Source organism: Homo sapiens, chromosome 10 (assembly GCF_000001405.40).
Source record: "Homo sapiens chromosome 10, GRCh38.p14 Primary Assembly".
Classification (NCBI taxonomy): Eukaryota; Metazoa; Chordata; class Mammalia; order Primates; family Hominidae; genus Homo; species Homo sapiens.
In genome coordinates, this window is record NC_000010.11 from 80115099 (window position 1) to 80127663 (window position 12565).

General features: G+C 42.8%; 1 pseudogene; it reads left to right on the forward strand.

Annotated features, from left to right (window-relative positions):
- On the forward strand, positions 10822–11276 carry RPL22P18 (ribosomal protein L22 pseudogene 18; annotated as a pseudogene).

Consider the following 12565-nt stretch of genomic DNA (forward strand, 5'->3'; position numbering starts at 1 on the left):
TTTTTTTTGTCTTTTTTTTTCCTTTTTGTGGAGATCAGGGTTTCACTATATTGCCCAGCCAGGTCTCAAACTCCTGGGCTCAAGCTATCCTCCTGCCTCTGCCTCCCTAAGAGTTGGGATTACAGGCCTGAGCCACCACACCCGGCCTTATTTATTTATATATATTTTTTGAGACAGAGTTTCACTCTTGGTTGCCCAGGCTGGAGTACAATGGCATGATCTCGGCTCACTGCAACCTCCACCTCCCAGGTTCAAGTGATCCTCCTGCCCCCAGCCTCCCAAATAGCTGGGATTACAAGTGCCCGCCACCATGCCTGGCTAATTTTTGTATTTTTCGTAGAGATGGGGTTTCACCATTTTGACCAGGCTGGTCTTGAACTCCTGACCTCAGGTGATCCGCTCACCTCAGCCTCCCAAAGTGTTGGATTACAGGCGTGAGCCACCGCACCCGGCCTTCTGTATTTTAAGGAAAACAAAGAACTGTAGTTTTATCTTAAAGCAGCAGTTTTGTCTTAAAGTACCCAGATTTGGTTTGGGGCAGGGGGTTTGGGAGTTTTTTGTGGTTGGTTTGTTTGGTGAAACCTCTTTACACACCTCCAACATATTGAGGACACCAAAGAGCTTTCTTTGTGGATTATAGCTATTAGTATTTACTGTTAAACATTTAAACATAACTTTCTAAAAAACATTTTTTCATTCCTCTCAGCACATACCTATAAAACATACTTTTTTTTTTTTTTTGAGATGGAATCTCGCTCTGACACCCAGGCTGGAGTGCGGTGGCATGATCTTGGCTCAGTGAACCCAAGACATCCCAGGTTCAAGTGATTCTCGTGCCTCAGCCTCCTGAGTAGCTGGAACTACAGGCACCTGCCACCACATCCACCTAATTTTTATATTTTTAGTAGAGACGGGGTTTCACCATGTTGGCCGGGCTGATCTTGAACTCCTCAGGTAATCCACTCACTTTGGCCTCCCAAAGTGCTGGGATTACAGGCGTGAGCCACCATGCCCAGCTGCTATAAAACATAACTTTTAAGAAAGCTTATTTAATGATTCATTTAAAAATAGCAACAATGAATGAAGTACAATAAATATACCTCAGCAGTATTATGAAATTAGTTCTGACCTCATGGGCCCCTTGAGATTGGTCCTAAAATAAAGGGCGAGTTTACTATAGAATGCAAAAGAGCATGCTGACATGATTTTTTTTTTTTTTAGATGGCGTCTAGCTCTCTTGCCTCGGCTGGAGTACAGTGGCACTATCTTGGCTTACTGCAACCTCTGCCTCTCGTGTTCAAACAATTCTCCTTCCTCAGCCCCCTGAGTAGCTGGAAATACAGGCATGCACCACCATGCCTGGCTAATTTTTGTATTTTTAGTAGAGACAAGGGTTTCGTCATGTTGGCCAGGCTGGTCTTGAACTCCTGATCTCAGGTGATCCACCCACCTTGACCTCCCTAAGTGCTGGGATTACAGGCATGAGCCATGCGCCTGGCCTGAAGTGAATTTTATTTGCTTTGATTTATAATACCTGAGTTTGGGGGCTGGACGCAGTGGCTCACACCTGTAATCCCAGCACTTTGGGAGGCCAAGGCCAGCGAATCATTTGAGCCCAGGAGTTCCCAGTCCAGCCTAGCCAGCATGGGAAAACCTACTAAAAAATACAAAAAGTAGCCAGGTGTGGTGGTGTGTGTCTGTAAGTTCCAAACTATTCGGGAGGCTTAGGTGGGAGGATCACCTGATCCCAAGAGGCGGAGGTTGCAGTGAACAGAGATCGCACCAGTGCACTCCAGCTTGTGCGACAGAGTGAGACCCTGTCTCGATTAAATCTATATTTATATATATAATGTGTGTGTATATATATATACACACACGTAACACATTATATATATAAATAAAATACTTGATTCTGAAATATGTTAGACACTATGAAATGTTATTAAGATCTTATAGGGCCGGGCGCGGTGACTCACGCCTGTAATCCCAACACTTTAGGAGGCGGAGGCGGGCAGATCACGAGGTCAGGAGATTGAGACCATCCTGGCTAACACGGTGAAACCCCGTCTCTACTAAAAAGTACAATAAATTAGACGGGCGTGGTGGCAGACGCCTGTAGTCCCAGCTACTCAGGAGGCTGAGGCAGGAGAATGGCGTGAACCCAGGAGGCAGAGCTTGCAGTGAAGCCGAGATCGCGCCACTGCACTCCAACCTGGGCGACAGAGGGAGACTCTGTCTCAAAAAAAAAAAAAAAAAAAAAAATCTTATAAAAGTTTGCTTTTATAAGACCATACGGTTTATCATATAATGTATAATATTTTATAATATATAATGCATATAAAACACATCATATGCATTTTAACACATGAAATTTACTAACAATCTTAAAAAATTTTGTTTAATATTCATGGCCTTGTTTCCCTAGTTTACTGTTTGTTGTCTTCACCTATACTATGAAGGGTTATTCTTTTTTTCTATGTAAATCTACCTAGATAGCAAAGATTCAGTGTTTTACCAGAATTATTTTTTGATTTTCATGTTGATTTTATTATGCCCTTGGTTATTTAAAGAAACAAGATTTGTTATTTAGGAGGGAGCTAAAGTTCTTTATGATCATGTTATTTTCTATCTTTATTTTTATTTATTTTTATTTATTTTCTTTTTTTTTTAGAGACAGAGTTTCACTCCTGTTGCTCAGGCTGGAGTGCAGTCATGTGATCTCTGCTCACTGCAATCTCAGCCTCCTGGATTCAAGTGATTCTCCTGCCTCAGCCTCCCAAGTAGCTGGGATTACAGGTGCCTGCCACCACGCCCAGCTAATTTTTTGTATTTTCAGTAGAGGTGGACTTTCACCATGTTGGTCTCAAACTCCTGACCTCAGCTGATCCATCTGCCTCGGCCTCCCAAAGTGCTGGGATTACAGGAGTGAGCCACTGCACCTGGCCTATTTTTAAATGTTGTATTGTCTCTTACAAATGGGTAGGCAAGTACTACTTCTCAGATGCCTATGATCCTACACTAAGTATTCAAATCTCCTGACAATTTTGTATTTTGCATTCCCAAAATTAGTCCTAAATGTGAAATAAAATAAAATAAAAGGAATGATAGCTGAGCTTTCCCAGACATACCATTGAAAATCACAAAAGATTTGTTACTTCCCCTTATGAAAAGAGAGGTGCCAGAAATAAATAGGTGTATTTGATATGTTACTATTGGTGAATTACACAGGAATAGATGAGATTATTTTTTATCAAAAGAGAGGGAAAGTGTAGGAAAATTTTCTTTCAATGGAAAATTAAGTATTGTCTATAGCACACCCTTTCACTTTATCTGCTTTTGATTCCATGGGAGCCATTTTACAGCTTGTAAAATGTAGATAACTGATAGAAATGAAAACTAATTCTTGGCTCTAGATCTGTACATTTAATCCTGCCAGTAGAGGTTCAATTGACTTCCCTTTCCCACCCTGGAAGAAGCTGGCTTGAGCTCTGTTGGTGAATGTGTTTCAACATTCCTTTGCTCCATATAATTGAGCTTTTCTGACTTCTCCTTTGAATTAGTTATAATCTGCCATTGGAGAGTCATGATTTTATCTTTTTTTTTTTTTTTTGAGATAGCGTCTTGCTCTGTCGCCCAGGCTTGAGTGAAGGGATGCAAGCTTGGCTCACTGAAGCCTTGACCTCCTGGGCTCAAGTGATTCTCCAAACTCAGCCCCCTGAGTAGCTAGAACTACATACATGAGCCACCATGCCTGGCTAATGACGATGATGATGATGATGATGATGATGATGATGATGATGTAGCAGGGGGTTGCACTATATTGCCCAAGCTGGTCTTGAACTCCCAGCCTTAAGCGATCTTCTCACCTCAGTTTCCCAAAATGCTGCTATTATAGGCATGAGCTGCCACTCCAGGCTGATGATTTTATCTTTTTAATAAATGAATCTTTTAACAATAAGGACAATATAAGTTAGTTCATTACAAATGATGGAAGCTTATTGCATTAGAGTTTTATTCTCCTCCTTAATCCTTGTTGCAAATACCTGGAAGGCAGTAACGGAAAGACCATTAGCTGGTATTAACCTTCAACTCTGGAATATGGCACCATCTCCTACCTTGCCCCTGGCAGTTACTTTCCTCCCCTACACTTATGCAGCCTCCTAGCTGGTTGGGGCTATACTATCTTCCCTCCCTACACCAGCAGGTGGGACTGGATCAAGAGTCCTAGGCAGAAAAGAGAGGGAGAGAGAGAGAGAGAAATCAAACTTGTGAAAAGAAGGGGGAAGCTGGGCGCGGTGGCTCACGCCTGTAATCCCAGCACTTTGGGAGGCCAAGTGGGGTGGATCATTTGAGGTTAGGAGTTCAAGACCAGCCTGGCCAACATGGTGAAACCCTGTCTTTACTAAAAATACAGAAATTAGACAGGTGTGGTGGCGCACACCTGTGATCCCAACTACTCGGGAGGCTGAGGCAGGAAAATTGCTTGAACCCAGGAGATAGAGGTGCAGTGAGCTGAGATTGCGCCATTGCACTCCAGCCTGGGCAACAGAGTGAGACTCCGTCTCAAAAAAAAAAAAGAAGAAGAGGGAATAAAAGAAAATTAAACAAGAGTCCCAGTCCTGGAAGGAAAATATCAATCCTAGTCTGGAAGGGAAGAGAAGCGGAGCAGGTTTAGAGGTTAGTCCTATTGTATTCATTTTATGGGGTCGGTGCAGCAGCTGAGTTGACATAAAGATATAAATGAGGCTTAGGGCAAGGAGATGAATATTTTAAGAAACTTTTTATTGATGGATCATGTATATACATTTTAAGAATTAAACACACCCATGAAATCAGCACCCAGACCAAATGACAGAACATTACCAGCAGCTCAGAAGCCCCCCCATTTCTCTTGCAGGAAATTGATACTGAGTTCTTGTGGCATGGATTAATTTTGCTTGGTTTGTACTTTATATCAATTGTATTATACAGCATTTTTTGAGAAAATTTCTTTCATCAATTGTATTTTCATCCATAATGTTGCATGTAGTGGTAGGTCATTCATTCTTTAGTCTGATGTCAATGGGAATTTGAGTAGTTTCCAGCTTAGGACTATTATAATAGTGCAGCTATGATCATTCTTGTTTTTCTTTTCTCTTCCTTCCTTCCTTCCTTCCTCTCTTTCTGTCTTTCTCTTTCTTTCTCTCTTTCTTTCTTTCTCTCTTTCTTTCTTTCTTTCTTTCTTTCTTTCTTTCTTTCTTTCTTTCTTTCTTTCTATCTAGGGTCTCACTCTGTTCCCCAGGTTGGAGTGCAGTGATACGATCTCGGCTCACTGCAGTCTCTGACTCCCAGGCTCAAGCCATCCTCCTACCTCAGCCTCCCGAGTAGCTGGGACTACAGGCATGCACCACCACACCCAGCTAATTTTGTATTTTTAGTGGAGATGGGGTTTCGCCATGTTGCCCAGGCTGGACTCAAGCAATCTGCCTGCCTCAGCCTCCCAAAGTGTTGGGATTACAGGCGTGAGCCACCACACCCATCTTGATCATTTTTATCCATATTTTTTATGACCATGCATTTCTGCTAGGTTTATGCCTAGGAATGGAATTGCCAGGTCATATTTATTTCTATGTCTGTCAATCTGTGTATATATTAAATACGAGGAGCTCATGCCAATGCCTCTTATTCTAATTTAACACAACAGGGTTCACTCTGCCCTTCCCTTTTCATTTGTAGTTCTTTCTTTGACAGTGAGAAGCCTACCTCCCACTAAATACAATATATTTACTTAATTGCTCAATCCCAGAATACCGATAAAATAGTTTCAGAGTTGGTAACCTATATTCCCTAGCTCTGTCTGCTGAGAGGGCCTAGAGGCAGTGACACCCCAGTAACAATGAGGACATCCAGTACCCAGATCTTAGTTTCTAAATACCATTCCCTCAAAAAAGGAAGCAGAGTTTTTTGGAGAAATGATTAAGTATAGGGCGGGGTCAGTGAAATTATAAAATAATCCTGGAACATCTTATGTCAGAAAGAAAGTGCTCAAAATACAATAAGGGCATTTCAAACAAACACAGGGGGGTGACTTGAAGACTCTCACAGTGGCTGTACCTGGGACAACTGGAGCAATGAGACAAATGATGTTGGTCATGAATTATCACTGGCAGAATAAACTAAATATCCACGAGTCTATACTGAAATAATTGCAAAAGTAATTGGGAGGCAAGGGACAGCTGTTCCTTACCAATGAATTACAATTAATAAATAGAGAAGGAATTGTGAAAGTAGAAAAATCACCTGTTGGAAAACACAGCGGTAATGATTATTGCAGACAAGAATCGCCAATGAATGCCAAAATTGCTGGGTGAAAGTATGATAATAAACAAGATATTTGCATAGTGTCCAAGATATCTCCTCATAAGATACTCATTAAGTTCAAAAGGAAAAATAGGATTTTGCAATGGAGAAATCTTTGCCACATCGTCTCTCAAAGTTATCATCTCCAGTAATGGGATGCTGCAATATTACATGTGCCTCCTGATATAATGCATGGGGAAGGGTATAACCTCACTCCTGTGGTGTTCTCACCAAAAACACATAACGTCATTCTCATTTTGAGAAAGCATTATACAAACTCAAGTTGGAGGACATTCTACAAAATAATTGGCCAGTACTCTTCAAGAGTGTCAAGTTTACGAAAAACAAAAATAACTAGCCTGGATGCTTCAAAACTGTCAAAATTATGAGAGGAGGAGAAAGACTGAGGAGCTGTCCTGAATGGAAGGATCCTACTGAGACACGGCAGCGGAATGCCACTTGCAGTCCTGGATTGCATTCTGGAGCAGAAAAAGGACGTCAGTGGCGCTACTGGCAATACTGAATAAGGCTTGTGGATTCTCACACAGTATTGCATTAATGTTTGTTTCCTGACTTTGATAATTCTGTAGCTATGTAAGATGTTAATATTTGGGGAGGGTGATGAAGGTTGTACAATAATTTGCTGTACTCTTTTTGTAAGCTCAAAATTATTTCCAAGGAAAAAGACAAAAAGAAAGAGGGAATTGGATGGGATTGTGTCATTCTTCAGCCAAAAACCCTGCTGGCACCTCTGCCTACAGCAAGAAAGTTTACTCTTTTGAGAGTGGCATTTGAGGCCCTCCCTAATCTGACCAAAACTTCCCCCAGATTTACTGCCCACTCACCTGTCACCCACCCACCTTTGTTAAACTCCATGGCATGCAGGATGCACTGCTTAGAAAACTCCTACTCATGTTCAAAGACCCCTTTGTGAGGCCTTTACTTTACACCTCCTTCAGGAAGCAGAGTTAGCTGCCAGCTCCTCCTTGGTCACCAGTCATCTCTCCTGGAAACCTTGATCCTCCTCCAGGACCACTGCAGGCCTAGCTGGCATTACTCACAACCCTTTCTGCCCTCAGGAGATTTATAACCTACAAGTACATACAGCAAAGAAAACATAGTGACAGGCCCAGGAAAGCAGGTTAGAGGCAGGTGAGCAAGAGAATTTACATTGTGTTGTGACCATAGATGTTATTATTACTCCATCTTTGTTGATGAGGCTCAGGGAGAGGAGGTGAACTGCCTGAGGCTACACCACCAATAAGGACAAAGTCACGATTTGAACTCAATTCCTCTGCCTCCTTTACTAAGAGATACTAACTCAGAAATGCTCTGAACAGTCAGCCAAGCAATGTCTTCAGACAGTTTATATTTTACTTCAACTCTCACCTCAAGGAGCCAAAATAAGATCATCTCCCTAGAGAGCATTGCAGAGAAAATTCTCAAAGAGCTTGAGGGAAATGCCAACCCACTCCTACCCGCTGAGCCCACAGGGAATTCAGGAATCATAGCTTGACAGATTCTCAGGAAATAGTCATGGATTTCACAATGAACTGAATTGACACTTAGCAATGTGAATCTGCTGCAAAAACATCTCAAAACCGAGTAAGTGGATACCAGGCACTATGGGTGGCTGAGTTCTTTTGCTGGACCCTCCATTTAGGCCAGTTTTCTCCTCTTCTAAACATGGATTTATCACTTCAAAAGACACTGGTTAGAAAACTGCTATTGCTAAGCTCTGGGATAATCACAGAACCCATCACATAGGGTAGCAGCCAAGATTAACTGAAAAATAGACTATGTAGCCATGGAATACTACTCAGCCATAAAAAGGAATAAAATAATGGCATTTGCAGCAGCGTGGATGGAGGTGGAGACCATTATTCTAAGTGAAGTAACCCAGGAATGAAAAACCAAAAATCATATGTTCTCATTTGTAAGTGGGAACTAAGCTATGAGGACGCAATGCATAAGAGTGATATAATGGACTTGGGGACTGGGGGAAGAGAGTGTGGGAGGGGGTGAGGGATAGAAGACTACACATTGAATACAGTATACACTGCTCAGGTGACAGGTGCACCAAAATCTCAGAAATTGCCACTAAATAACTTATCCATGTTGGCCAGGCACAGTGGCTCACACCTGTAATCCCAGCCACTAAATAACTTTTCTTTTTTATTTTTACTGTACCCTTTCTTTTTTCTTTTTTTTTTTTTTTGGAGACAGAGTCTCACTCTGTTGCCCAGGCTGGAGCGCAGTGGCGCGCAGTCTCTGCTCACTGCAAGCTCTGCCTCCCAGGTTCACGCCATTGTCCTGCCTCAGCCTCCCGAGTAGCTGGGACTACAGGTGCATGCCACCACGCCCAGCTAATTTTTTGTATATTTTTTAGTAGAGACGGGGTTTCACCGTGTTAGCCAGGATGGTCTCGATCTCCTGACCTCGTGATCCACCCGCCTCAGCCTCCCAAGGTGCTGGGATTACAGGTGTGAGCCACCATGCTCAGCCTACTGTACCTTTTCTATGTTCATTTAAAAGTAACTGAAAGAGTACATACAATTGGAATGTTTGTAACACAGAAAATGATAAATGCTTGAGGTGATAGATACCCCATTTACCTTGATGTAATTATTACACATTGTATGCCTGCATCAAAACATCTCATGTGCCCCATAAATATATATCTACTATGTACCCATAAAAATTAAAAAAATTTTAATCAGAAGAAAATAAATCTATAACAAAATTTTTACAAATTAAAAAAACCAGACTATGTAGTACTTCACACTGGGTTAGACGATGAATTCGAAATCATGAATGTTGGCTGTTAGGAATATAACTATTTATTATAACTGTTAATATTATGATTATTATTATTATTGAGACAGAGTCTGGCTCTGCACCCAGACTGGAGTGCAGTGGCACGATCTCGGCTCACTGCAACCTCTGCCTCCCATGTTCAAGCGATTCTCCTGCCTCAGTCTTCCTGTAGCTGGGATTACAGGTGCACACCACCACATCCAGCTAATTTTTTAAGAATATTTTTGGTAGAGATGGGGTTTCACCATGTTGACCAGGCTGGTCTCGAACTCCTGACCTAGAGTGATCCACCCACCTCGGCCTTCCAAAGTGCGAGGATTACAAGATAAGCCACTGTGCCTGGCCAATATCATTATTATTATTATTATTATTATTATTATTATTATTTTGAGACAGTCTTGCTCTGTCATACAGGCTGGAATGCAGTGATGCAATCTCAGCTCACTGCAACCTCTGCTTCCCGGGTTTAAGCAATTCTCGTGCCTCAGCCTCCCAAGTAGCTGGGATTACAGGCATGTGCCACCACCCCTGGCTAATTTTTTTTTTTTTTTTTTCTTTCTTTCTTTCTTTTTTTTTTTCTTTTTTTTTTAGTAGAGACAGGGTTTCACCATGTTGGCCAGGCTGGTCTCAAACTCCTGATTTCAGGTGATCCGCCCACCTCACCTCCTGAAGTGCTGGGATTATAGGCGTGAGCCACCACACCCGGCCATAACTGTTAATATTAAACCTCTACCCTCATTCTACACTTTGCTTCTCCCTGTACCAAGCGGATCTTCCTATCTTCCTACATCTTCTCCTACCTGGGAGGATTCAGGGCCACATGTAAGAAAGGGGGCAAAATAAAGGGGTTATGCCTATTGCAGCACAATTCATAATTCCCAAGGTACAGAACCACCTTAAGTGCCCATTGATCAATGAATGGATAAAGAAAATGTGGTATATATGCACTATGGACTACTACTCAGTCATAAAAAGGAACGAAATAATGTCTTTTTTGTTTTTTTTTTTTGAGATGAAGTCTCGCTCTGTCACCCAGGCTGGAGTGCAGTGGCGCGATCTCGGCTCACTGCAAACTCTGCCTCCCGGGTTCACGCCATTCTCCTGCCTCAGCCTCCCGAGTAGCTGGGACTACAGATGCCGGCAACCATGCCTGGCTAATTTTTTTTTTTTTTTTTTTTTTTTTTTTAGTAGAGACAGGGTTTCACCGTGTTAGCCAGGACGGTCTCGATCTCCTGACCTCATGATCCGCCTGCTTCGGCCTCCCAAAGTGCTGGGAATACAGGCGTGAGCCACTGCACCCAGCAGAAATAATGTCTTTTGAAGCAACTTGGATGGAGTTGGAGACCATTATTTTAAGTGACGTAACTCAGGAATGGAAAACCAAATACCATATGTTCTCACTTATAAGTGAGAGATAAGCTATGAGGACACAGAGACATACAGAGTGATATAATGGACTCTGGAAACTCAGAACGGGGAGGATGGGTGGGGAGTGTGGAATAAAATACGACATGTTGGGTACGATGAACACTACTTGGGTGGTGCACGCACTAAAATCTCAGAATTCACCATTATACAATTCATTCATGCAACCAAATATAACTTGTACCCCCAAAGCTACTGAAATTTTATAAAATTAATAACAATTTAAAAAGAAACAGTTCTCTTTCTGCCTCCACTGCCACCATGGCTCCCGGGAAAAAGCTTGTGGTGAAGAGGGGCAAAAAAAAGAAGCAGGTTCTGAAGTTCAGTCTTGATTGCACCCACCCCGTAGAATATGGAATCATAGACGCTGCCAATTTTGAGCAGTTTCTGCAAGAGAGGATCAAAGTGAACTGAAAAGCTGGGAAACTTGGCGGAGGGGTGGTGACCATCGAAAGGAGCAAGAGAAAGATCGCCATGATATCTGAGGTGACTTTTTCCAAAAGGTATTTGAAATATTACACCAAAAAATATTCAAAGAAGAATAATCTATGTGATTGGTTTTCGTAGCTGCTAACAGCAAAGAGAGTTATGGATTACATTATTTCTAAACTAATCAGGACGAGGAAGATGAGGATTAAATTTCATTTATCTGGAATATTTTGTATGAGTTCTTGAATAAAACTTGGGAACAAAAAAAAAAAAAAGAAAAAGAAACAAAAAACTTCTTATTTTTTTCTTTTTTTGAGATGGGTCTCACTCTGTCACCCAGGCTGGCATATGCAGTAATGTAATCATAGTTTACTGCCGCCTCGACTTCCCAAGCTCCTGCCATCCTTCCACATCAGCCCCCTGAATAGCTGGGACTACAAGTGTGTGCCACCACACCCGGCTAATTTTTAAATTTTTTTTGTAGAGACAGGGTATGGCTATGTTGTCCAGGCTGGTCTTGAACTCCTGAACTCAAGCCACCCTCCTGCCTCAGCCTCCTAAAGTGCTAGGATTACAGGAGTGAGCCACTACTTCCAACTTCAAAAAAACAAATCTCAACCCATCAAGTCGCCCCCTCCTTTTCCTTCCCCCGAGAGACATCCACATTCACACTTCACTGGCTCACTTTCTCTGGCTATAACTTCTGTGCCTTGGGTTAGTAGCCCCTCTTCATCTGTGCAGAATGGGCTAGGTTTGCCCAGTGCTCACTGAGAGCTCTCCCGGCGTGGGTCTTTCTGGTACCTCTGGAAATCTTCTCTTGTGCCAAAGGAAGAAGACAAGGAGGCTTTGTACAGCTCAGGCCCTCCCAGCCACTGACGCTCTTTTAATTGGGCTGTCCTCTCACCCCATCTCTCTCCCCAAAGAGATGACCAGCCCCTATTTCCTGTTTCCTTTGGCCCTTTGCCTTTGGGTATGGATTGGGAGAGCAAGCCCCTGCCAGATTTCCCACCACTTGTGCCCCGGCCCAGCCAGGCTGGGAGGACCTGAGCACATCCTGTAGCATTGCCTGTGGAGGCAGTACAGGTGCCTGGGAGGCAAATCCCTAACTAGTCTCTGTGTGCCCTGGGCCCACCTCCTAACTTCTCCAAGCCTTACATTCTGTATGCTCCCATGACCCTGGCAGGTAGCCTCACAGTCCACGCAGATTGTGACGGTATCTGCCAGGGTCATGGGAGCATTAAGTGAAAGAGAAACGTCTGCACATTAGGGCACTTCATTCATGCAGGTGGTTATGAGCGTTCTCCCCTAACTGCACAGGGCTTGCCACTCTGCGCCCCCCATATCCCATTCATCCCTTTCTCACCTCCACTCTTCAGATTCTCTATTTAGTGCCTTTCCTGGGACTTCAGAGTCAAGAGGCCTGATCATGCAGAGGACCATGAATTTTGGAATCGGATCCACCTAGCTTCCAAACTGGGATCTGCCACCCTCTACTCTTGAATCAGATATACTTAATAGATCTTATTTTTTTAAATGGGGATAAGGATATCTACTT